General features: G+C 48.8%; 2 protein-coding genes across 3 annotated transcripts in view, besides 5 other annotated features; both read left to right on the top strand.

Annotated features, from left to right (window-relative positions):
* Positions 268 to 853: an enhancer, noted in NCBI's record as "H3K27ac-H3K4me1 hESC enhancer chr10:118899951-118900536 (GRCh37/hg19 assembly coordinates)". NCBI's record gives its function as "activates a minimal SCP1, AML or CMV promoter by ChIP-STARR-seq in naive H9 embryonic stem cells {active_cell/tissue: H9 hESC(naive)}" and the evidence as "EXISTENCE:reporter gene assay evidence [ECO:0000049][PMID:30033119]".
* Positions 854 to 1,440: an enhancer, noted in NCBI's record as "H3K27ac-H3K4me1 hESC enhancer chr10:118899364-118899950 (GRCh37/hg19 assembly coordinates)". NCBI's record gives its function as "activates a minimal SCP1, AML or CMV promoter by ChIP-STARR-seq in naive H9 embryonic stem cells {active_cell/tissue: H9 hESC(naive)}" and the evidence as "EXISTENCE:reporter gene assay evidence [ECO:0000049][PMID:30033119]".
* VAX1 (ventral anterior homeobox 1) lies at positions 3,023 to 12,773 on the top strand. 2 transcript variants are annotated; one of them, NM_199131.3, is made up of 4 exons: positions 3,023 to 3,477; positions 4,634 to 4,821; positions 8,816 to 8,853; positions 8,991 to 12,773. In NM_199131.3, exons 1-4 carry the CDS (start codon positions 3,237 to 3,239, stop codon positions 9,082 to 9,084), a joined length of 561 nt encoding a protein of 186 aa, NP_954582.1. In that variant the 5' UTR covers positions 3,023 to 3,236; the 3' UTR covers positions 9,085 to 12,773. The 2 variants fall into 2 exon arrangements, with proteins under 2 accessions (NP_954582.1, NP_001106175.1); NM_001112704.2 differs by lacking the exons at positions 8,816 to 8,853; positions 8,991 to 12,773 and adding an exon at positions 6,710 to 8,003.
* Positions 9,123 to 9,649: an enhancer, noted in NCBI's record as "H3K4me1 hESC enhancer chr10:118891155-118891681 (GRCh37/hg19 assembly coordinates)". NCBI's record gives its function as "activates a minimal SCP1, AML or CMV promoter by ChIP-STARR-seq in naive H9 embryonic stem cells {active_cell/tissue: H9 hESC(naive)}" and the evidence as "EXISTENCE:reporter gene assay evidence [ECO:0000049][PMID:30033119]".
* Positions 9,650 to 10,177: an enhancer, noted in NCBI's record as "H3K4me1 hESC enhancer chr10:118890627-118891154 (GRCh37/hg19 assembly coordinates)". NCBI's record gives its function as "activates a minimal SCP1, AML or CMV promoter by ChIP-STARR-seq in naive H9 embryonic stem cells {active_cell/tissue: H9 hESC(naive)}" and the evidence as "EXISTENCE:reporter gene assay evidence [ECO:0000049][PMID:30033119]".
* Positions 14,640 to 15,140: an enhancer, noted in NCBI's record as "H3K27ac-H3K4me1 hESC enhancer chr10:118885664-118886164 (GRCh37/hg19 assembly coordinates)". NCBI's record gives its function as "activates a minimal SCP1, AML or CMV promoter by ChIP-STARR-seq in primed H9 embryonic stem cells {active_cell/tissue: H9 hESC(primed)}" and the evidence as "EXISTENCE:reporter gene assay evidence [ECO:0000049][PMID:30033119]".
* SHTN1 (shootin 1) overlaps positions 14,707 to 25,655 on the top strand; it is a 245,110-nt gene continuing 234,161 nt past the window's right edge. The window contains exon 1 of the mRNA NM_001258300.1: positions 14,707 to 14,986. The gene's annotated coding sequence lies outside the window, so the exon portion shown is untranslated. The remainder of the gene's footprint in view (positions 14,987 to 25,655) is intronic.

Genomic DNA, 25,655 nt, shown 5'->3' with positions numbered 1-25,655 from the left:
AAAAATTAGCTGGGCGTGGTGGCGCGCGCCTGTAGTCCCAGCTACTCAGGTGGCTGAGGCAGGAGAATCTCTTGAACTCGGGAGGCGAAGGTTGTAGTGAGCGTAGATCGCGCCATTGCACTCCAGCCTGGCGACAGAGTGAGACTCCGTCTCAGACAAACAACAAACAAACAAACAAATAGTTCCCCCTTACAACAAAATATGCCACAAGATGAGGGAGGGCAGAAATTTCCGAGGCCAAACTTAAAATTTGCATTTGGGATTTGGCCATACTTTGGCCGTTCTCTGTGGCAGTGAATGCGGCTGCAGACGTCCCAGCGCCGCCATTGCCCACAGGGCGTGTCATTTCTAAGGGCAGCTGTTTGTTCCCTGACTGCCCCCGCCCCGCCCCCCAGCTCCCCCATCTACCTAAAAGAAAATGTAATGGGTTGGGCCATTTTTATTTTTTAAAAAGCTTTCTTCCAGGTCTTTGACCGGGCGCCGCAGGTGTCCGCATGGGTTTCCCAGGCCGCTGCGGCCTTCACCGACAGAAGGAGGCCGTACAGAGGGGTGCGGCCGGGCCGGGGACCCAGAGCCATCTGGGTCCCATTTGGGCCAAGGCTGCGGTTTGGGACTTCCGCCGCCTGCAGGGCTCCTAAAGGGCTGAGGAAGGCCTAGAATCCTCCTGCGCACCCGATCTCGCGTAGTCCGAGGGTCCGACCCCTCCAACCCCTCCAGGGTAGGGGGCAAGGAAGGGCCGGTGTGCCAGGGAATTCGGTCGCACCCCTCCCTGCCCAAGGAGGCCCAGGAGCTCCCTCGGGCCGAGCTCTGCAGGGAAGTGAATGCCCCATCTGCTGCAGGGACCCCCATCAGGAGGACCCGAATCCCAGGGACCCGCACCCGCGACGCGGTAGTGGGAGTCAAGACCCGGCGGCTGCACCCCCGACGGCTTGGCCGCATGGGAGCAAAGCCCTCGGTGCCTCAAGGCGCCAGTCTGGGCTTTTGAGCGTTGCGGGAGGTAACAGGAGAGTTCGCCGGATTTTAACACAATCCCACTCTACATCTTCAGAACAGGGTGGCCGCAAAGTCCCTTACCCCTCTTACCCGTCTCTGCTCCCACCCGCCTCACCAACCCGCCGGAGCAGAGCTCGTAATCAAAGGCACTTTCCCCGGGCGCCCAGTCGGCGTCGGACTTCGAGGGCAGCGTGCGCAGCGAAGCCGGGCTGAGGGGCGATCAGCCCGCTGGGGACCCTGGAAACCCGCCGCCCTGCGGAGAGTAGCTCGGGACAGTTCCACCGCTCCGCCCAGTCAACTAAAGTGGAAGCCTGATGTCGGCCTGCAGGGCCAGAGATGCCCTCCGGAGCTGGGCCAAACCTGGGTGCCCCTAAGTGGCTGGAGGGGTGGCTGGGTGGACAGCGCGAAAGACCCCGCTCAGGGGGCCCCCTCCTGGCTTGGGACGGTAGAGGGGTCCCGCGGGGTGGCGGCGGAGGCAGGGGAGGTGGCGGCGGGGCGGGAGGTGCGGACGGTGCGCGCGTCGCTGCGAGCTGGAGCCCCTAGGGGCCCGCCACACACACTCGCACCCCTCCCCCTCCCGGCCTTCCTCCCACCCGCTCGCCGCGACCCCCTCCCCAACCCCCTCCCCTCCCCCCGCCTCCGCCCCATTCTTGGAATTGTGTGGAAAAATTCTCAGCCAAACCTCCCACCTCTCCTCTCCCCCCACCCACCCCCTTTAAAAAACCCCTTTCCTCCCCGGCCCCTGCACTCTTTGTGAATGAGGGCAGGGAACACGGCCCTTCCCCCGCCCAGGAGCCACGCCAGACCGCCGCACTCAGAGGACTGTTTGTTAATAGTCCAATTAGATAATTGCCATCTTTCACTCCTTTTGCTCCGCATTTCCCATAAAGGAATGAATGGGGAGAGCGGCGTGGAGAGGGCTTCTGCCCCGGCAAGGTGACGAGAAGGGCTGGAGCATGCTCCTTGCACAAGGCCATGCGCTTGAATTGAATCATTGTAGCCTAATCAATGCTCTTATTGGATTACTGGCTGTTGCTTTTCTCAAAGATATTGTAGCAGAGACAATGAAATAGCTAGGGGAAAACTTTTTTTTTTTTTTTTTGAAGCAGATCTCACAGTTGAGATTTCTCGGCCGTCTCTCCCTCTCCCCCTCTCTCTCCTGCTGGACTCTGAGTACAAAGCTGCCCTTTGAATGGGCTGCCTCAGGGCTGCTGGAGGTGCAGGCATGAAAAAATCCAACTGGAACTAAATGAAGAGAGGTGGCAGTTTAAGATGGCTGTCTGCGTCGAGGTGTGTTAAGAAGGAGTTGTTTAGGGGAAAATCTTGGCTTTTTTAGAGTGCAAGGGAGATACTTTTTGGGAAAACTTTCTCCCCCCGCTCTGTCCCCCATCCCCCACTCCCAGACAACTGCTTTCTTCTGCCGCAGGGTGCGCAGGGTTTTTTTTTTCTCCCCCCACACCCCCCCGCCGCCCAACCCTCATTCAGCTCTATCTGGCGAGTGTGGAGAAAACCCCTCTAGCCAGTATGTGAGCAGGAGGGTCAAAGGCAAAAGGAAAGTTAATAATGCCTGCTAATGGTACTAACAATTCAGGATGAATCTTGTCAAAAGTTTTTCTGGAAGTGTGGGTCTTTGATTGTGTGTTTCCTGAAAGCAAGACCAATCATTTCCGTTTATTCACTGGCTAAACCCCTACTTGATTGGGGACAAGGACAGAAACCATCCATTACGATCTGATATATTATCCAAACAATTTAGTGTATTCATGAGGTAACCGAAACGTGGGGGCTGCGAAATTACCCGTAATCAATTGCAACAGCGAGTGTGCGTCCCCCCGGGTGTCGGACAACTACAACTCGCCGTCTCAGAAACAGGCGGGAGCCGCAGCATTTCGGAGTTGCGCTGTTCGCTACCTGATCGCCAGGCTGGGGACACTGGACGTGCTCAGAGGACGCGGGTGCTGACGAGGCGGCCTCGCCGCAGCTCCACCAGGATCCTGGACCAGACTGGCCGCCTCTCGGCGAGCGCGCCACTCTCCCGTCGCCGCTGACCCGCGCGCGGCCGCCGAAGCCTCCCCGCGGGGACATTCATTCTTGCCCCTTGCCTGTCGCCGGGCCGGGCGTACGGGCCGCGTTGTCGGGGGTTTTGTCCCCTTTTTCCTCTTTTTTTTTTCCTTCTCCGCCCCCCCCCCTTTTTTTTTTTTTTGCTTTTTTTTTCCTTTCTGTTTTTGTTGTTGTTCTTGCCTATGTTCGGGAAACCAGACAAAATGGACGTTCGATGCCACTCGGACGCCGAGGCTGCCCGGGTCTCGAAGAACGCGCACAAGGAGAGTCGGGAGAGCAAGGGCGCGGAGGGGAACCTCCCAGCCGCCTTCCTCAAGGAGCCGCAGGGCGCCTTCTCAGCGTCGGGCGCTGCTGAGGATTGTAACAAAAGTAAATCCAATTCCGCAGCGGACCCGGATTACTGCCGCCGGATCCTGGTCCGAGGTAGGGATGGGCAGGGCTGCCAGGCGCGTTCTTTGGGGTCGACTCCGGGGCCGGAGCTGCGCGCTGCCGCCGACACAGGCCGGTGGGAAGGAGTGCCGGCTGGGACTTGGGAGAAAGTTGTTGGCCCTCCCCGCCCCGAGTCCGGCTGGGGACAAGCGCCTGGGACTCTCCGGTGCGCTCTCCAGGGGCCTCGGCCCTCCACGCCCGGAGGGGCCCCGCTGACCGGGCTGCGGGGGGAGATGAGGGGCTGCGCGGGTGCGGCCGGGCATCGGGCTGCGGCCTCCGACCCGGGAAAGGAGCAGAAAACTCCGGGAGGAGGTGTGCGCGCTCCAAGGGCCGGACGACCTGCCGGGAGCCGGCCAGGGGACTCCCGCGCTCTGGAGGGCTGAGCGCACCCAAGGGGGAACGCGAGCCCCGGAGAACAGCTGCCGATCGCGGGCTACGGCCCTGCCAGTTAGTGCACTGGGCCGAGGACCCCACGGCCGCGATCGGTGCCCGACCGCTGCCGCCGGGAGAGGCAGCTGGGCTTGGTTACGGAGCCGCGGTTGCCGCTTTGGTGCTCTGCTCTGCCGCTCTCGGATGGCGCGGCGTGCACTTAGCCCCGGCGGCGGAGGCTGCGAGGCCGGGCCCCGGCCCGGCGCCGCCCCAGCCAGCAGCAGATCTCCGGGCCCGGCCGGCCCCGACTCAGTCCCTCCTCCTTCCGCCGCGCGGACTCCGGAGGGAAGGAGACTCGAGGGTGGGGGTGGGGACGTCTGGATCACGGTCTGGTCGGCAAGCCCAGAGCTGGGGCCCGCAGGACCCGGGCGGGGCGACAAGGGTACCCTCAGGCTACAGGGGACCCGGAAGGCTCAGCCGAGGCCCCCCCAGGCCGGAAGAAACGTCCGCCTATGTGGAATTGATTGGATTTTTTTCTCTCCCCTGTCTGGAGGACTCTACAAAAAGACAAAGTGTGGTCCCTCCTTCGGTCAGCGGTATGGAGTTAGGCCCCTTGCCCTCCACACAGTGTCTTTGCTACCTGGTTGTGGTCGCGCTCCGCACCCCGCCCCCCATCCCCAAAACTGCACGCTTCTGGGGACTGTGTCCCCAAATCCAGCTCGGGCCAAGGAGGTGGAGGGGGACGGGAGGGTTCTGGCGGCTGACATCTCCCCTTCCCCAGATGCCAAGGGGTCCATCCGAGAGATCATCCTGCCCAAGGGCCTGGACTTGGACCGGCCTAAGAGGACGCGCACGTCCTTCACCGCGGAGCAGCTCTATCGGCTGGAGATGGAGTTCCAGCGCTGCCAGTACGTGGTGGGCCGCGAGAGGACCGAGCTCGCCCGGCAGCTTAACCTCTCCGAGACCCAGGTACCCGGCGACCAGGCCGCACACAGTTCTGCACCAGCCTTCCTCCCCACCACCCCTACCTAGCCTGCTCTTCACCTCCTAACCTGCTCTGGACAGAACTACCCTTGGGAGGTGGAGGAGATGGGAAGGATGGGTAAGACAGGCCTAAGGATTCCTTCCCCTAGATAATACATCCTTTCCCCCCACCATTCCTGCCATCCCCAAATCCTCCAGGGCCCATGTTTTATCCACCTTGGCCTAGGCCCAGAAGGCCCCAAATCCTGTCCTTTTGGAATTTTTATTGTCCCCCGGTTTTGAGCATTTCCTTCGAGCTTCTGCTCTACAAAGAACTGACTTTTGCCCTTGTTTGGGGTACCCCATTTTGGCTAGATTTCTAGGCCCCACCCCTTGTGGGCCCACCCAGCTGTACTCAGCGTCCAGGCCCATTCTACAGGAGTGAGGCTAGATCTAACACCCCCTGCCCCAGCACCATGGGTGATTCCCAGGAATTAGGTGTACGCCCTCCTGGAGATCTGCCTGTGCAGATCAGGCTGCCCTGACCCTTAAAGGAAGGCTTTCCCCATTCTGAGCTGGCCCCAGCCCTGAGCACCTAGGAGACCCTGTCTTCTGGGCCAGTGATGTGTGAGGTGTGTGATGGGAAGGAGATCTAGGACCCAGAAGCCAGTACTGCTGATTGTGCTTTAGATCTTTCCCTTTACATTAAATCCATATGATGCCCCTTGGAGCTGGCCATGTGGGCTCTGGGCCCAGGAGAGGACCCAAGAACTTGCCAAGTGGCATGTCACCAGCTTGGCCTAGCTACGGCAGCCTTCTTTCTGAAGACTGATCCTTTTCCCCATGCCCAACCCTGAAGCAGGTGGAGAGCATTTTAGGTCCGGGATCTGGGCTGAAAGCTGAGGACTGACAGAACAGATAGGGGTGTTCTTTTTGAGTTTGAGTTGGTATGGTAGCTTTTTCTATTCTCTCTGCTACTACTCCTCTTAGTTTATAAAATCTAGATAGGATAGTCTTTGCCTATTGCTGCAAAACTCTTCTGGGCCACTGCTAGGCCTGCAGAGGGGCAGAAGAATGAGAGGGGAGGTTAGTGGGGAATATTCAATCCACCTCAGCCTCCTGACTTTCTCCCATGATTCCAAGTTCATGACTCAGACCAGTGGAGAGATAAACTAAGAGTATCACCAGACCCTTCAATGCAGCTATCTGGTGAGAAGAGGTGCAGAAATCTCGGTCTACATAAAGTCTCCCGCACATATTATTCTCCTGCAGCCACTTTCCCTGCTTGCTGCTAGCTAATGGTCACGTCTTAAGCAGGAAATGGTCCTTTGTAGCCTTCACCAGGAGTAGTGCTTCTAGGACTAAATCCGAGCGCATTGGGCCAGGGGCCTGGGTCCAGAAAGGCTGGGCAATACTCCCTCCCCGCCTCTCTTCCCACTTCCCTCTTCCTTCTTCCCTCTTCCTTCACCGCACCCGCACCCTAGGGCCTCACACCCTCCACCGGAAATTCCGGCTTTGGGACTGCACTGATTCACACATCTGTGAGCCCCAAACACCGCTGCGGGGTAGCGCGGAAGCCAGTGAAACCCTTTCCGGTCTTCCTTCGAGTTCCTGCCGTGGGCATTTTATTACTTTGTTCTGTGTAAGCGGCGCCTGCCTGGGCCTGCTTCCCTGACCCGGAAGCGCAGCCCGGTGGAGCAGCTGTGTCCCCCTCGTGGCGGCGCCAGCTCCCCCAGCAGCGCCCCGGCCCGGACCCCTCCGGCTGCTGGGTGGGGCTGCGGATAGGGCTGGGACTTGGGGAGAGCCCCGGAGCCGCGCGCCCCGGGAGCTCGCTTCCTTTGACGCTGGTCTTCCCTGCCCCTCTCTCCAACTCTCCCCGCACCCCGGCGCGCAGGTGAAGGTCTGGTTCCAGAACCGGCGCACCAAGCAGAAGAAGGACCAGGGCAAGGACTCGGAGCTACGCTCGGTGGTGTCGGAGACCGCGGCCACGTGCAGCGTGCTACGGCTGCTGGAGCAGGGCCGCCTGTTGTCGCCGCCCGGCCTGCCTGCGCTGCTGCCGCCTTGCGCCACGGGCGCTCTCGGCTCAGCGCTGCGCGGGCCCAGCTTGCCGGCCCTGGGCGCGGGCGCCGCTGCAGGCTCGGCCGCCGCAGCCGCCGCCGCCGCCCCGGGCCCAGCGGGCGCTGCATCCCCGCACCCGCCGGCTGTGGGCGGTGCTCCAGGTCCCGGGCCCGCCGGGCCGGGGGGATTGCACGCAGGCGCCCCGGCCGCGGGCCACAGCCTCTTCAGCCTGCCGGTGCCCTCGCTGCTCGGCTCCGTCGCCAGCCGCCTGTCCTCCGCCCCGTTAACAATGGCTGGTTCGCTAGCTGGGAATTTGCAAGAACTCTCCGCCCGATATCTGAGCTCCTCGGCCTTCGAGCCTTACTCCCGGACCAACAATAAAGAAGGGGCCGAGAAAAAAGCGCTGGACTGATTTTAAGTGTTTCCCTGTATTTATATTTATAGTATCTATTGTGGTGATATTTATGGACTCACGCGCATTAGGTGCCCAGAGCTCCTGCGCTGGGCTCCTGGCTCCCACCAGGCCTCTGACAGCTCTCCTTTCCCACTAGACTCTGCTACCAATTTCATCTCATTCGGGCTATTTTTTTTTTCTACTACCTTTCCTCTGAGATTCCTCCCCAACCCCCAACTTCCTTCTGAATCCAGGAGCGATCCAAAGAATTGGGAAAAATGCCCGAGTTAGTCAACCTGATGCCCTGACCCCGTGCCCAGCCCAGGAGGGAAAAGACTGGTTCTAACTCCAAAGCACAGGACGTTTGCTCTAGATCCGCGGCTGCTGCGGCTGCTGCCGCTGCCGACTATTCCTAGGAATATTTGAAAGAGGAAAACTGCGCGCAGACCCCAGGGGCTTCCAGGTTTCTTTAGACCAAAAAAGGAGGACGTTCCTTCCTCTTGCCAGGGAAACCAGGGCTTGTGGGAGCCCCTGGGCCCCGCTTTGCGGACCTCTCGGGATAGTCGGTACACAACACAGCTTCCTGGCGGGCAAATCCTGCGGTTTTTCTCCCCTTTAGGGCAACTCCAATCACAACCACCCCCGACCCCAGGAAACAGTAACAAACGTCGTAGTAGGCAACGACACTGATAAATTTGATCTAATCAGCAATAAAAGCAATTGCTACGTAAAACCAGATGAAGTGGAACCAGTTTTTAAATACTTCCAATGATGAAATTTGGAAGGTGTAAGAAAATTCAGGATACAGAATGCCCCACAGGGCAATGCAAAATTAAGGTTCTGGGTGTTGTAACTTTAAACAGGAATTTAATGGGGGAAAAGCAAAGGAAAAGGTAACGCCGCTAATCAAAGGAAATTCAGAATCTTTTCTCCGAGCCTGTTCGGGGCGGTGGCCGACAGCTTCCCACTCCTCCAGGAAAGAGCAAAGCGGCTGCCGGCGGTAGCCTGCGCAGCCGGCGCTTCACCCTACGGCCTCCCAGGCGCGTAGCTTCGGGCACAATTGCTCGGTTTGGAAAACGAGTCAGCACTCATTGCCTCCTCTCCCAAACACCCGGATTCACAAAACCCTTCCTGCACGCAGGAAACGTCTGGATTTCTGAGCAGTTCTTTGCGGAAGGGGAGGCAGGGACGCCGCTGGGTGGTCGGGCCTCCTCTAGCAGTAGTCTCGGAGTCCAGATAGCGTCTTGTGTGATTGATAGGAAAGACACTCCCCTCGCCTCCCCAGTCTTAGGGTTTCAGTGGTCCCAAATCAGAACACGAACCGCGACACCCTCTTTCCTTACCCTGCGCAGCGGCGATCGTCCCTACAGCCACGGCCACCCACATTTTAACCAAAATCACAGACCCAGACTGCGAGGTGCCGCAGTGTCTAGAATGTATTCATCCATCTGAAGCAAGCGAAAAACACTTTTTTAAAATAGTAATTTTATTGTAAATTATTTACGTCGGAAACTCTCCCCCTCTTTTTCATCTTTTTTTTTTTTCTAGGCAAATAGTGAAGAAAATAATGAACGATTCAAACGCGGGTAGGTGTCACTGAATCCAGGCTACTAACTTTGTTCTGAATGTTTTGGATATTTGGATGTTTTGTATTTATGTGGTGAGAGTGAAATATATATATCTATGATGATAAATGAGGTGTATTTTTGTCTTATATTTGAAGGATAAAAAAACAAAAGAAGAAAAGGAAGAAAGAGCCAGCAAATGATGAGTCTCGGCGTGGGGACTCCGGGGGCAGAGGGTGGCAGCCCCTATAGTGCGGGGCCCTGCGACTGGTACCGTGAGCGCCTGGGATGAGGTTTGGGCGGATTTCGGGTTTCCGGAGAGGCAGAGACGCCTGGCTACGACGATTTGTTCCACTTCCTTGAGTGTTTCGCTCTCGATTTCTCTATCTGTCCCTCTGAGGTCGGCCCCTCAGACCCTCCTCCTTAATTTCCCACTGCGTAATTCTTAGTTTATTTAGGAACTCATCTCTGGGCACTATAAAGTCTCTGCCTCCTAATGCTAGGTTTCTAGAGTCTTCCAGCTGCATCTTCATGCCGGCAGCATTTTGGATTTTGTGCAATCATGGGCCCAGAATAGGCAAGGTTTTATTTTCTTCTGACTTAGAATATAAGTCTCGCCATCGTCAAAGAGAAACTTTGAAGGAGCAGGAGACTGAAATCGATATTAATTCCTGCAAAGAGACCTCCTCACCCTGGTGCTTATGCGGTGGTGACGGGTGTAGACGTTGCAAACAAATCTTGGGAAGCGAGGAGGGCCGGGGAGGACACTTCCGGACACGCTCTTCTAAAGCGTGTGCAGCACGGGGCGAAGTCCGCGCTGCGGGGGCAGCGGCCCCGGCTCCTTCTTGTAGCGCCTGCACACCTGGGTGTTGCAGGGACCCGCAGCTCCCGTGCGGCACCGGCCCTAGCCAGGCCTTACTGCCCCTACTCGTGTACTGTGCCTGAAGCTGAAGTTGGAGGCATCCAAAATAAGGCGGGGCACAGTGTGGGCGGCGGAGTCCCTGAGCCTTGAGCTCCGCTTTTTGCTGAGATCACAGCAGCCGCCCACAGACAGTTCACTTTTATTTCTCAAAGTTGCTGCAGATCCCTCAGCTTGGCTTCTCTTGGCTCTTCCCCTCCCTGTCCGCCTCTCCTTACTTTCTCTTGCTTGAAACTGCTTTTCCTTTTCTACTCTTTTCTTCCGCGCTCCTGTCCCGTAAACGCCTGCGCTTCCTTTAAGGAGTTCTCTCTCTGTGGTGTGGGCTCCCCTCTCGTTCCCCCTGTCTCCCTCCTCCATTACTTCTTCCTTCCAGGTCTCTCTCTCTCTTTTGGTTTTCTGGTTTTTTTCTCCTGCTCAAGGGGTCCCAAAGGCCAAGGCAGTGGGTGGCTCTCGCTGCAGCTTCAAGGCTGGTGGCTGGGACCCTCCAGGGGTGAGAAGGAAGGGAGAAGGTGGCATAACTTTTTGGAACAAAAGAAAACACAAAATCCTAGCTTGGGATTCCCAACAAATTCAGCCTCCTCTCCCAGGGGCCTCAGCCTGGGAAGTCACCAAGCAGATCCCTCCTTCCAGCTTCCTGCTCTTTCTCCTTTTTGCTTTCTTACCCCTGAAAGAGGGAAGGACAAGTCACCTCATAACTTCTGCTCTCACCTCCCTTCCCTCCCTGGCTTTGGGAAGAGCTGCTGAGCTCTTTGCCTGCCACTCAGGGAGTGCAATTGTTCTTAAAGAGCCTCTTCTGCATAGAAAAAGAATTGCAATTTTAATTTAAAAACATTTATAGAAAATTCATTTAATTTTAGTGACTATCTTCTTTTCCCTCCTTCCCCAAGGGCCTCCAGTAAGCTGCCTTGGTCCCTGGAGGCTTCTGGCTTCCAACTGGAGACTCACAGGCCTTGGAGGAGGAGGCAGGTACCCTCTATGCCAATAGCTGGGCCTGCCTGGGGAAAGGTGGAAGGAGAAACAGCTGCAGGAGGGGGGAGCTGAAAGGAATCTGATGCTCAGGCCTGCACAAAGCAACCGCCAAATTGTTTCAGAGCAGAAAAGAAAAAGGGAGAAAACCTCTTAGCAAAGCCCTGTGAGTTTGGGGGTCAGGTTCAAGAAAGATGTGGGAAGTCACTTGGAGAGCTAAACGGGACACATGCTCCTATCCACACTTGCAGTTGGTCTAACCTTCAGCCAGAATGTATTCATAAGTAGCATTTGGCAACCCTTTATAGTTTACAAATAGCATTTTACATACACCATTCTACTATTCCTCATGGTGGCTTTGGGAGGTCCAGCTCCGTTTTAAAGACTCACACAGGACTGAAGCAAATAACTTGCTCAAAGCCACATAGCTGCTCAGAACCCAAGATTGTAAGCTCCCCCTAGGGCCAGAGGCCTCTTTCTTTCAGTTTTTTTCTTTCGTCCCCCTTTGACCCCTCTTTCCTTCTTCCCTTTCTCCCCTCCTTCCTCCTTTCCTTCTTTTTGTGCCCACAGTGTCTGGATCATGGTACCTGAATTCTTTAGCCTATTTGCACCCACATCTGCTAATGTCCATATCTAGCCATCTATTACACCAGCTGCTGAGGATTTACTTGGTGCCCTCATCAAGAAGTTTGAATTTCTCCCTCCTTCCTTTTTTTTTCCTGCCACTGTCCCAACTCTTTCCCTCTACGTCTCTCTAGAATGACATCTTTAAACCCCTTACACTCTTTGGTCTTACACATCCTTAAAAATGATTATTTATAAATTGAATTATAATATCCATGAGGTAAACACTCATAGGGTAAAGTACACAAAGCTTAACTATACAAGTTGATGATTTACACACACACACACACACACACACACACACCCCTTCTTGAATGGCTCCAAGGATACCCTTTTAACTTCTTCCCTTCAGCCACATAAGCCATATGATGACACACAGTGTCTTTCTCCTGTTTGAAAAGAAATTGTGTCATATTGGTGTGCTGTTCTTGCATAGAAAGCCTTTTTTAAGAAGTCTTTTTAAGATTTCTTGAAGGATTTTAGAAATCATATATCTCTTCTAACCCCCTGAAATCCTGAGTTTAAGTGGCTTGATTAAATGGCTGATCAAAACTTAAAAACACACTAGGTCAATGTTTTTCAAGATACAACTGAGGACCAGCTGCTTCAGAATCATCTGGGGACTGGCTAAAATTCCAGGTTCCTAAGCCCTAGTCCCATCTGATGAATCAGAAACTAGGTTGGGGCTTAGGAACGTGCATTTTAAACACTTTTCCAAAGTGATTCTTATCCAGACTAATATTTGAGAAGTACTGTATTAAATGGCAAACTCCCAAAACACTGCAGCCTCCTGCATCTGGCCCAGGGCCTGGCATTTGGTAGGAATACAATGAATGTTTGTTAAACAAATTAATCCACAGTTTCTGACACAGTTTAGAATTTCTTGGACCACATTATGCTATTGTAATTTAACACCATTTCTACGTCGGGAAATCTTTACATTTCAGTCTTTTTCATTTTCATGGAGGTTTCATTTTAATGGAGCAGGAGAGAAAAGAGAGATCTACTTTGGTGGTTTCTCAGGTCTCAGGGAAGGTCTTTTATAAACTCAATGGGGACCACCTTCCTGGAGAGGCTGCTCCCTTACAGACCTGGTAGTTTGGGGAAAGGAGGAGGAGAGCCCTTCAGGTTTGCTGAAAAGCATTCAGATGCACACCCTTCTTGGTTGGAACTGAAAGCTTCTGTTTGAAGAGACATGAGTTCTGGAAGGAGCAAGGCCACCAGGTCCAGAGAACCTGGCATGCAATGGACATGGAAGCTGAAAATTACTTGGGTATTCTCTGATTTCTAGCTAATATGAAAATAATTTTCTTTCTAGAAACACATTTGCCTATCTTCTTACCCTGAAACAGAAAATAAATATTGTGCTTTATGTGGTAGTGTTGTACCCATTCTTAAAAATAAATCACATCATATATATGTGTAAAATATATATAAAATTTTTCATGTAAAAGTTTTCTTCATATAAAAAAGTCTGTTATGTGTGTTAACAACATAACATGTATAGCAATAACACATACACATATACACACATATAAACACATACATAGCATTCCCTGGTATCATACAATGTGTAGTATGCTGGTTTAATGCACAGAGAAAAAGTAATTCATCTTAATGGTTTCTAGTTATGGTTCTGGAGTCAGAATGACTTGGGTTCAAATCCCAGATACACCACTTAATAGCTGTGTAATCTTGGACAAATTAGTCATCTGGCTGCTCCAAACCTATTTCCATGTATATCAAATGAAAGTAATAATGGCACCTACCTCATAGGATTGTCATGGTTGTTTAGTTGGATAAAGCATCTAAAGCATCTAGTACAAGCCTAGGATAAGTTATATGCTCAAATATTAGCTATTTATTATAAGACTGTGATTGAGATAGCTGACTATCTGAGAGTCTCTCTGGGCCTCAGTTTCCCCATCTGTAAAATGACGGTGTTGGCCTAAAGTCCTTTCCTGAGGAAGGGGAACGTGATTGGGTCAGGCATAATGGAATTTACTCCCCCTGCCTTTAGACTTGGTATCACAGCCATTAGTAAGCACAGCATCTCTACCAAAATGCTAAATTATTATTTTAATGACTTGGCAGACAGCTCTCAGCTGTCTGTTCATTGGAGACTGCCTCATCTGAAGAGAGCCACTGTACTCAAGTGGTTTCCAATGACTTTCCAGGGTGGTTTCCAATGACTGGTAGACCTGGGGATAAGCCTGGTTCTTGCACCCCAACTTTGGATATATTTGAAGACTCATCCCATCTTCTAAACTCTTAGAAGGAATGGCTGAGGCCTCTGTTGGGATCCCTATGCAGTTTGACTTCTGTCCAGTACTGCTTCCTTCCTTTCCCTTCTACATTGTTGAGCTTGAAGCACTCCTTAGTAAACCTCCTACATGCTAATTTCCTCAGTTCTTGAGTCAACCAATTTCAATGGAAAGGTATGAGAAGGAGAATGCTAAGAGCTGGGAATGGAGAGGAAGCAGTGAGGATGGCTGAGTGCAAGTAGTGGGAGAAGAGGCAGGAATGCAGGCAGCACCTGGAATACCACGTTGATAACACTTGGATTTTGCCATCAGGGCGATGAGGAGCCACTGAAAAGTTCTCCCAAGGAGATCATGGAATCATTGTAGTTCTCATTTTACAAGGTCTCTCTGGCAATCTGGGGGAGAATCCCAGAAGAGGTGGCATGGGAACAGGAGTGCACGGATTCTGAGGCAGATGCCAGTTAGTGAGTACACTTCCATAGGAACAGGAGAGCAAGAGAGGATGATGGTGATGCGATGATGGTGGGGGTAGGGGATGGGGGTGAGGGTTGCTTGGTGAAGTGGCAGCAGAAATGGAGAGGAGAAATGGTTTCAAGGCATTTTGCTTAAATAAAACCAACAGATCTTACTGTCTGACTAGAGGTGCCCGGTGGTAGCATTGATATCAAGATCGGGTCCGAGTGGAATTTTGAAACCATTTTCCTTGTATCAGAGAGGGAATTTGATCAGAGAGCCTGAAGCCAATAAGGGTTTAGTGGGGGTACTGGAGGCCGAGTTGGCTCCAAAGCTGGGGAGATACCTGTGAATTGGGGCAGAGGCCTCAGCCCGGAAGGCAGGAGGGCCCAAGGGCGGGAAAGGCGTGGAGCCTGCGCCATGTGAGCCATTTGGCATGCACAATGGGGCATGCGTGCTAGGAGGCGAGGCGAGGGGCATGCGTGCTAGGAGGCGAGGCGAGGGGCATGCGTGCTAGGAGGCGAGGCGAGGGGCATGCGTGCTAGGAGGCGAGGCGAGGGGCATGCGTGCTAGGAGGCGAGGCGAGGGGCATGCGTGCTAGGAGGCGAGGCGAGGGGCATGCGTGCTAGGAGGCGAGGCGAGGGGCATGCGTGCTAGGAGGCGAGGCGAGGGGCATGCGTGCTAGGAGGCGAGGCGAGGGGCATGCGTGCTAGGAGGCGAGGCGAGGGGCATGCGTGCTAGGAGGCGAGGCGAGGGGCATGCGTGCTAGGAGGCGAGGCGAGGGCCAGGTGCTAGGGCTAGAAAGGAGGCAGGGCTGGCGCTCTAGGGACTCCTGGAGCTCTCCTCCTGTGAGCCTGGACCCGGCACCTCACGCAGCCCATCTCCCACAGCTTCCGTCGACGGAGGCCGGGGCCTCACCAGGAAAGTGGTAAGTTAGGCCTGCTTTGACGGTTTTAGCGGCAGGGCCCCGACCCACGCTGAGTCCGGCTCCCGTGCTCTCTTGCCAGCACGGGCAGAAATAGGGACTGAAAATACCTTCCTGGGTCCGGCCCTTAAGACGCCAGCTGTGACCCAAGGCAGTGGAGCGGCGGGAAGTGACGTCAAGCGGCGGCAGCGCCCCCTGAAAGGCCCCTGCCAGCACCTAGCGCTCCGCCCTCCAGACCCACGCCCTTGACCCCCGGCTTCTTGCACTGAGGGAAGCAGCGGCATGGGGGCTGAGGGGCTTGCTAAGGGTGCACAGGACGGACGGAGTGCCAGGTTTTTGTTTTGGTTTCCTTCCCTTGCGTCTCATGGGTTAGATAAGACTGCCATGTGTTAGATCGGTGGCCAGAAAGTCAGGTCATCAGCCCATTTTACTGAGGGTCTGGCTTAGTCCCTTCCCGGGAAGAGCTAAAGGCAAATTCAGTTTTCTGTCCTAGTTGTCAGCTGATGCGAGGGAAAGTAAGCACAGTGGAGTGGGAGCATTATTGGCAGGGATGGGCAGACAGCCTGTAGAATTCTGAGATGATCAAGAAGGTATTTGGGTTCTTAACCAGGGCATCCCAGGGAGAAACGGAGGGGAGAGAAAAAGAAAAGGAAATGATGTGAAGGAGGTGGGGGTCTCACATCGAGTAGAGGTGTAAGATAAGGCTTGCAAAGTGGCCTGGTCAAGGAAGGGCCTGAAGACCAAACTAAAGATCTCTATTCTGTAGGTGAAGGGGAGGTTTTGGGCAGGGTAACGATGGGAGGAAAGCCCAGTTACAAGATGAGATGGGTGCCGACAGGTGAGAAAGGTTAGTAAACAGATTGGTGTCGAGGTCTGGGATTAAGCTGCAGGTGGGGAGGATAGAAAGTAGGTAGGTGTCTCATCAGTGATGGGATGAGAAACAAGTTAGTTAACACATTAATGCCAACATTTGTTTCTAGACATCACCATTATTTTCGTTTTAAGATCCTCTTTCCCTGAGCTGCCTATGACCGTCTCTGTTCAGAGACCAGTGGGAGGGTGGCAAATAAGTTCAACTCTAGTGCTAAGTTGAATTATTTGATGGTAGCTGCCTGGGGATACTAAGTTGTGGAGGATTCTGAGGCCTCCGTGGAAAAGTATGCTGATCATTAGTGATGTCTGCCAGCATCGGAGGGGTTCTTGCAATTCTGAGACAAATATAAGTGGCTTTGAGGCCAGGTTGCTTCCCTAGGTTCTGAGTAAGGAGCTGGGTCCATGTTTGGCTCAGCAATTTTTCTTAGCCTGGGCAGGTCATGGCAGAGTAGGAAGCTGTTTCCAAGTAACTCGGGGCAAGGTTCCCGCAGCAGGTATCCCAGTCATCACCTTAACCCCCACAATATAGCAATAGTAGGAAAACTTGGGCTTTGAATTCCACCTTTGACTTTTATTGGCCATGTGAACTTAGGCAAATAACTTCTTTCAGTCAGAATCCTCATCTGTAAATAGAATTATTACTTTTATTTTATCTTATTTTTTGAGACGGAGTCTCACTGCATCGCCCAGGCTGGAGTGCAGTGGTGCGATCTCAGCTCACTGCAACCTCTGCCTCTGGGGTTCAAGCAATTCTCCCTGCTTCAGCCTCCTGAGTAGCTGGGATTACAGGTGCCCACCACCACGCTCGGCTAATTCTTGTATTTTTAGTAGAGATGGGGTTTCACCACGTTGGCCAGGCTGATCTTGAACTCCTGACCTCAGGTGATCGACTCACCTCGGCCTCCCAAAGTGGTGGGATTACAGAGTAATTCAATGAGAAAAGCAAAGTGCAGCCTGTTTTAAAGATGTAGAGCCTGAGACATGGAGAATCAATGTGTCAGTGAAGGGATTATAATTTGAACTTTATTTTTCTGAGTACTGGTATACCACTCTGAACATGATGCTTAACTCCTGAGTTTTGCTTCACTGTCAAATGTGCTCTACCCTCAAGCTTTTCCTCTGAATTCAGGGTCCACTTTTTTCATTGCCTGAGGCTCATTAACCCCCAGGTTAGAGTCAGGACCATCAGTGACACATCTGAAGTTTGGCTTTTTTTTTTTTTTTTGAGACATAATCTTGCTCTGTCACCCAGGCTGGAGTGCAGTGGTGCAGATCATGGCTCACTGCAGCTTCAACCTCCCAGGCTCAAGGGACCCTCCCACCTCAGCCTCCTGAGTAGCTGGGACTGCAGGCATGCACCACCATGCCCAGCTATTTTTTTATTTTTTGTAGAGACAGTGTCTCACTGTATTGCCCAGGCTGGTCTTGAACTTCTAGACTCAAGCAATCCTCCCACCTTGGCCTCCCAAAGTGTTCGGATTACAGGTATGAGTCACCGTGCCTGGCCAGCAATTTTTTTTTTTTTTTTTGTGAGACAGGGTCTTGTTCTGTCACCCAGGCTAGAGTGCAGCTGCAGCAATGTGATCTCGACTCACTGCCTCTCGGGTTCAAGCAGTTCTCGTGTCTCAGCCTCCCTAGTAGCTGGGATCACAGACATGCACCACTACGCCCAGCTGATTTTTTTTTGTATTTTTAGTAAAGATGGGGTTTCACCGTGTTGACCAAGCTGGTCTCGAACTCCTGGCCTCAAGCAATCCACCCACCTTGGCCTCCCAAGGTGTTGGGATTACAGGCGTGAGCCACCGTGCCTGGCCAGCAATCCTTTTAAGAGTACTCTGGCAGTACATTAGGAACAGTAATCAAGCATGCAAAATTAGGTAGAGATAATTTGGAATGTAGGTAGATGTTGGGTGACCCCCAAGGTCAGGGGTCACTTATGTCATTATTGGAAGTTAAGGGGTGTTAATTACTCACTACCTTTTCTTTCTGTCTCAAATCAACTGCAAACTAGGTGCCACATAGGGTTCCAAATTTAAGTGGCATCAAATGGCTCTCAAAGTTGTCTCAAAGTTGTCTCTTCTGGAATTGAATTTACCTGTCTAGTCACAGGTAGAGAACGGGAAAATGAAGAGTGGAAAGGGATAGAACCCCTGCCTTTTAAAGAACCCACGTATTGGGAGGCCGAGGCAGGCAGATCACCTGAGGTCAGGAGTTTGAGACCAGCCTGACCAACATGGAGAAACCCCATCTCTACTACAAATATAAAATGAGCTGGGCTTGGTGGTACATGCCTGTAATCCCAACTACTTGGGAGGCTGAGGCAGGATAATTGCTTGCACCCGGGAGGCAGAGGTTGCAGTGAGCCGAGATCACACCATTGCACTCCAGCCTGGGCAACAAGAGCGAAACTCCATCTCCAAAACAAAACAACCCATGTAGTGGTTCAGTGAATGGTAGTGCTCACCAATCAGATTATCTTCTTACTTTTCTCTTGAATTGTAAGAGTCAGAGGCAGAGTCACCTTTCTCAGAACTTCCCTAAGAGGGTAGAAGCATTGGCTAAACTGCCTTGTATAAAAATGTAATAAAGTACTTTAATTATTATTTTTCTTAAGTTTAATAGTATATGAAGAGGTTGAGAGTTCTCACTGTTCTCTTGAAGTTGTTTTTACTGTTGGAATTGCTGTTCCTAGATTGGTACATAGTAGACAATTTAACATTTGTTGGACTGATTGACTGGAATCACAAAGTTAGTTTATTAGGACAGCTTATTTGGGTCCCTAGGATTTCATAAGTCATGTCATGAAAATATATCCTTAAAAGTATTGTCCTAAGAGATGTGAGGTGATGCCTCATTGTGGTTTTGCTTTGCATTTCCCTGATGATTACTGATGTTGAGCACTTTTTCATATACCTGTTTCAACTAACTATGGATCGAAAATATTTTAAAAGACAATAGGGCCAGGTGCAGTGGCTCACACAAGTAATCCCAGCACTTTGGGAGGTGGGGGTGAGAGGATCGCTTGAGCCCAGAGTTTGAGACCAGCCTGGGCCACAAAATGAGACTCTGTCTCCACCAAAAATAAAAACGTTAGCTGGGTATGGTGGCATGTGCCCGTGGTTCCAGCTATACGGGAGGTTGAGTTGGGAGGATCACTTGAGCCCAATAGGTTGAGGCTGCATGAGCAGTAGCAGTGTTCATGCTACTGCACTCCAGCCTGGGTAACAGAGTGAGACCATGTCTCAAAACAAACAAACAATAAATAGCAATATGAAAATAAAAAATAAAGTAAATACAAATACAGTACAACAATTATTTACATAGCATTTACATTGTATTAGGTTATTATGGGTAATCTAGAGATGATTTATTTCTTTATTTATTTTTATTTTATTTTTATTTTTTGAGATGGGGTCTTGCTGTGTCGCCCAGGCTGGAGTGCAGTGGCGCGATCTCAGCTCATTGCAAGCTTCTCCCCCTGGGTTCACGCCATTCTCCTGCCTCAGCCTCCCAAGTAGCTGGGACTACAGGCGCCTGCCACCACGCCTGGCTAATTTTTTGTATTTTTAGTAGAGACGGGGTTGCACTGTGTTAGCCAGGATGGTCTCGATCTCCTGACCTCGTGATCTGCCAGCCTTGGCCTCCCAAAGTGCTGGGATTACAGGCGTGAGCCACCGCACCCAGCCAAGATGATTTAAAATATACAGGAGGGTGTGTGTAAGCTATATGCAAATACCATGCCATTTTACATTAAGGACTTGGACATCCTCTGATGGGGGTGTTCCTGGAAACCACCCCCATTCATACTGAGGTATGACTGTATATAAAACATGTATAAAATTTATAATTTTTTTTTTTGAGTCAGAGTCTCACTCTATCGGCCAGGCTGGAGTATAGTGGCATGATCTCAGCTCACTGCAACCTCCGTCTCTGGGGCTCAAGCAATTCTCCTGCCTCAGCCTCCCAAGTAGCTGGGATTACAGGCGTGTGCCACCATGCCCGGCTAGTTTTTTATATTTTTAGTAGAGGCAGAGTTTCACCATGTTGGCCAGGCTGGTCTTGAACTCCTGACCTCAGGTAATCCTCCCACCTCGGCCTCCCAAATTGCTGGGATTACAGGCGTAAGCCACCACGCCTGGCCCAAAATTTAGAATTGTATACGTAATCTATAGCTATAAAATGTACACAAAATATAGATTATAGGAGATTATACATGTAATCTCCTTTGATCTTCATAATATCTTTTTTAAACAATTTTTTTATCGATGCATAATAGATACATAGTTTTGGGGTACCTGTGATAATTTAATACATTTATATAATTTGTAAATGGGCATGGTCATTCATGCCTGTAATCTCAGCACTTTGGGAGGCTGAGGCAGGCAGATCACCTGAGGTCAGGAAGTTGAGACCAGCTTAGCCAACATGGGGAAACCCCGTCTCTCCTAAAAATACAAAAATTAGCTAGGCATGTTGGCACACTTCTGTAATCCCAGCTACTAGGGAGGCTGAGGCAGGAGAATCGCTTGAACCTGGGAGGTGGAGGTTTCAGTGAGCTGAGATCGTGCCACTGTACTTCAGCCTGGGCAACAGAGCAAGACTCTGTCTCAAAAAAAAAAAAAAAATCAAATCAGTGTACTTGGGATATCTATCACCTGAAATATTTGTCTTTTCTTCTAGCTATTTTGAAATATACCATAGATTACTGTAAATTATAGTCACCCTGCTCATCTATCTAACACTAGGTTCTGTTTCTTCTACCAAACCATAGATTTGTTGTTTTTACTTTTTTATTTTTAATTTTTGTGGGTACATAGTAGGTGTATATATTTATGGGATACATGAGATGTTTTGATATAGGCGTGCAATATGTAAAAATCACATCATGGGGCCAGGCGCTGTGGCTTACGCCTGTAATCCCAGCACTTTGGGAGGCCAAGGGAGGCGGATCACAAGGTCAGGAGTTTGAGACCGGCCTGGCCAATATGGTAAAACCCCGTCTCTACTAAAAATACAAAAAAATTAGCTGGGCGTGGTGGCGGGTGCCTGTAGTCCCAGCTACTCAGGAGGCTGAGGCAGGAGAATCGCTTGAACCCAGGAGGTGGAGGTTGCAGTGAGCCGAGATCACGCCCCTGCACTCCAGCCTGGGCAACAGAGCGAGACTCAGTCTCAAAAAAAAAAAAAAAAATCACATCATGGAAAAATGGGATATCCATCCCTCAAGCATTTAACCTTTGTGTTACAAATAATCTAATTATACTCTTTTCAGTTATTTTTAAATGTACAATTTATTATTTACTATAGTCACTCTGTTGTGCTATCAAATACTAGGTCTTATTCATTCTTCCTATTTTTTTTGTACCCATTAACCATCCTTACCTGCCCCACTGCTCCCGACTACCCTTCTCAGCCTCTAGTAACCATTCTTCTACTCTCTAGCTCCATGAGTTTAATTGTTTTGATTTTTAGATCTCACAAATAAGTGAGAACATGCTAAGTTTGTCTCTCTGCGCCTGGCTTATTTCACTTAACGTAATGACCTCCAGTTCCATCCATGTTGTTGCAAATGACAGGATCTTATTTTTTTTTTTTTACAACTGATTAGTACCCATTGTGTATAGGTACAATTTTTAAAATTCATTCATCTGTCGATAGACGCTTAGGTTGCTTCCAAATCTTGGCTATTGTGAACAGTGCTGCAATAAACATGGGAGTGCAGATATCCCTTTGATATACTTTTGATGTACTGATTTCTTTTCTTTTGGGTGTATTCCCAGCAGTGGGCTTGCTGTATCATATGGTAGCTCTACTGTTCTCCATAATGGTTGTACTAATTTACATTCTCACCAACAGTGTATGAGGGTTCCCTTTTCTCCACATCCTCGCCAGTATTTGGTATTGCTTATCTTTTGATTATAAGCCATTTTAACTGGAGTGAGATATCTTACTGTAGTTTTGATTTGCCTTTCTCTGATGATCAGTGATGTTGAGCACCTTTTCATATGCCTGTTTGTCATTTGTATATCTTCTTTTGAGAAATGTCTATTGAAATCCTTTGCCCATTTTAAAATCAGATTATTCCATTTTTTTCTGTAGAATTGTTTGAGCTTCTTATATATTTTGGTTATTGATCTCTTGTCAGATGGGCAGTTTGCAAATATTTTCTCCCATTCTGTGGGTTGTCTCTTTACTTTGTTAATTGTCAAACCATATGTTTGTACTCATTAATCAACTTCTCTTTATCCTTCCCTCCCCCTATCCTTCTTAACCTCTGGTAACCACCAGTCTACTCACTATCTTCATGAGATTCACTTAGATTCCACATTTGAATGAGAACATGTGATATTTGTCTTTCTGTATTTAGCTTGTTTCATTTAACATAATGACCATCAATTCCACCCATGGTGCTGCAAATGACAGGATTTAATTCTTTTTTATGGTTACATAATATTTCATTGTGTATATATATCACATTTTATTTTTTGATTTCCAACTTTTATTTTAAGTTCAGGGGTATATGTGAAGGATGTGCAGGTTTGTTACATAGGTAAATGCGTGTCATGGTGGTTTGCTGCACTGATCATCGCATCACCCAGGTATAAAGCACGGAATCCATTAGCTCTTCTTCCTGATGCTCTCCCTCCTCCCAGACCCATCCTCCAACAGGCCCCAGTGTGTGTTGTTCCCCCTCATGTGTCCATGTGTTCTCATCATTCAGCTCCCACTTATAAGTGAGAACACATGTATACCACATTTTCTTTATCCACTAATTCGTTGATAAGTACTTAGGTTGATTTCATGTTTTGGCTGTTTTGAATAGTGCTGCAATAAAACATGGGAGTGCAGATATTCCTTCAATGTATTGATTTCCTTTCTTTTGGATATATAACCAGGAGTGGAATGGCTGGATCATATGGTAGTTCTATTTTTAGTTTTTTGAGGAACCTCCATACTATTTTTCATAGTGACTATACTAATTTACATTTCCCATCCCTGTGTATGAGAGTTCCCCTTTCTCCAAATCCTCACCAGCATCCAGTATTGCCTGTTTTTTTTTTTTTTTTTTTTTTTTTGAAATGGATTATATTTCATTGTGGTGGATTTGCATTTCTCTGATGATTAGGGATGTTGAGCATTTCTTCATATACCTATTTGCCATTTGTATGTCTTCTGTTGAGAACTGTCTATTCAGATCTTTTGCCCTTTTTTAATTGGATTATTTGTGTGTATGTATGTGTGTTTTCCTATTGAGTTGTTTGAGCTGCTTATATAGTCTGGTTTTTAATCCCTTGCCATATGGACAGTTTCCAAATATTTCCCCCCATTCTGTGGGTTGTCTCTTCACTTTGTTATTTGTTTCCTTTGCTGTGCAGAAGCTTTTTAGCTCAATGTAATCCCATTGTCTATTTTTGCTTTGGTTGCCTTTGCTTTTGAGGTCTTACACAAAAATCTTTGCTAGGCCAATGCCCTGGAGCATTTCCCCAATTTTTTCTTTTGGTAGTTTAATAGTTTCAGGTCTTAGACTTAAGTCTTTAATCTATTTTGATTTGATTTTTGTGTATGGTGAGAGATAGGGGTCTAGTTTCATTTGGCCGCATATGGTTACTCAATTTCCCCAGCACTGTTTATTGAAGAGACTGTCCTTTCTTCAGTGTATGTTCTTGGCACCTTTGTCAAAGATGAGTTGGTTGTAAATGCATGCATTTATAATTTGGTTCTTTATTCTGTTTCCTTGGTCTGTGTGTCTGTTTTTATGCCAGTACCATGCTGACTTGGCTACTATAGCTTTGTAGCAAATTTTGAAGTCACATAGTATGATGCCTCCAGTATTGTTCTTTTTGCTAAGGATTGCTTTGGCTATTTGGAATCTTTTGTGGTTCCATATAAGTTTTAGCATTTTTGTTTTCTATGTCTGTGAAGAATGTCATTGGTATTTTGATAGGGATTGCATTGAATCTGTAGATTGCTTTGGGTAGTATTGTCATTTAACACTATTCTTCCCCATGAGCATGGAATATCTTTTCATTTTTTGTGTCCTCTTCAATTTCTTTCACCAATGTTTCCTTGTATAGATCTTTCACTTCTTTGTTTAAATTGATTCCTAAGTATTTTATGTTCTTTGTTGCTATTATAAGTGGGATTGCTTTCTTGATTTCTTTTTCAGATTGTTCGTCGTTGGTGCATATTAATGCTATTGATTTTTGTATGTTGATTTTGTATTCTGTGACTTTATTGAATTTGTATATCAGTCTTAGCAGTTCTTTTGGTGGAGTCTTTAGTTTGTCTAAGTATAAGATCAATGTTGCCTGCAAACAAGGATAGTTTGACTTCTTCTTTTCCTATCTGGACACCGTTTCTTTTTTTCTTTTTCCTATTTGCTCTAGCCAGGACTTCTAGTGTTATGTTGAATAAAAGTGGTGAAGGTGGGCATCCTTGTCTTGTTCCACATCTTAGAGGAAAGGCCTTCAGTTGTTCTTCATTCAATATGTTAGTTGTGGGTTTGTCATATACAGCCTTTATTATTTTGAGGTATATTCCTGCTATATATAATTTGATGAGCATTTTTTATGATAAAGGAATGTTGGTTTTATTTAATACTTTTTCAGCATCTATGGAAATAATCATATGGTTTTGTTCTTGGTTCTGTTAATGTGATGTATCACATTTATTACTTTGTGTATGTTGAACCATCCTTGCATCCCAAGGAGGAATCTCACTTGATCATGGTGAATGATCCTTTTAATGTGTTGTTGAATTTGGTTTGCTAGTATTTTTCTGAGGATTTTTGCATCTATGTTCATCAATGATATTGGCCTTTAGTTTTATTTTTTCATTGTGTTCTTGTCTGGTTTTGATATCCAGGTAATGTTGGCCTTATAGAATGAATTTGGAAATATTCCCTCCTCTTTAATTTTTTTGGGAAGAGTTTGAGTGGAACTGGTATTCTTTAAATGTTTGGTAGAACTCAGCAGTGAAGTCATCAGGTTCAGGGCTTTTCTTTGATGGGAGACTTTTTATTATGGCCTCCATCTCATTACTTGTTACTGGTTTGTTGAGGTTTTCTATTTCTTCATGGTTCAGTCTTGGTAGGTTGCATGTGTCCAGGAATTTATCCATTTCTTCTAGGTTTCCCAATTTGTTGACATATAGTTATTCATAATAGCTTGTAATGATTCTTTGTGTTTCTGTGCTTTCAGTTGTTGTGTTTCCTATTTTGATTCTGATTTTATTTATTTGGGTCTTCTCTTTTTTTTTTCTCAATCTACCTAAAGGTTTGTCAATTTTTGCTTATCTTTTCAAAAAACCAACTTTTCATTTCATTGATCTTCCATATTATTTTAGTCTTAATTTCATTCATTTCTGCTCTGATCTTTATCATTTCTTTCCTTCTACTAATTTTGGGTTTAGTTTGTTCTTGATTCTCTAGTTACTTGGGAAATGATTTCTATAATTATCTCCACTCTACAGATAAGGAATTTTATTTGTCCAAGATTGTATAGCTATTAAAAGTTGAATCAGAGACAGTCTCAAGCAAACATTTAGAGAATGTACTCCTAGACTTTCAGACTGTACACTAAGTTGTCTGTAGAGCTATTGAGAGGATTAAATGAAATAATGTGTTCATTTAATCAGTGCTTGGCATATAGCAAAAGCTCAGTATAGTGAGCTGCCATTTTTATTTCTCTTGAAGAAATCTCTAGTGAAATGTTTGAAAATATGGTAGGATCATTAAAAGTTGTGAGCTGTGGAGTATATCACAATTTCAGTGTTGATTTCTGGATTATTAATGTGACAGTGC

This window comes from Homo sapiens, chromosome 10, assembly GCF_000001405.40.
Source record: "Homo sapiens chromosome 10, GRCh38.p14 Primary Assembly".
In the NCBI taxonomy this organism is placed as follows: domain Eukaryota; kingdom Metazoa; phylum Chordata; class Mammalia; order Primates; family Hominidae; genus Homo; species Homo sapiens.
Note: the sequence above shows the minus strand (reverse complement) of the source record. Positions and strands in the feature narration are given on the sequence as shown.

Bases quoted from the DNA above. Each gene is read 5' to 3' on its own strand.
- VAX1 (NM_001112704.2), top strand. From the start codon at position 3,237: ATGTTCGGGAAACCAGACAAAATGGACGTTCGATGCCACTCGGACGCC. The intron at 3,478-4,633 runs GTAGGGATGGGC...CCCCTTCCCCAG, and splicing joins CCGCCGGATCCTGGTCCGAG to ATGCCAAGGGGTCCATCCGA. The intron at 4,822-6,709 runs GTACCCGGCGAC...CCCGGCGCGCAG, and splicing joins TTAACCTCTCCGAGACCCAG to GTGAAGGTCTGGTTCCAGAA.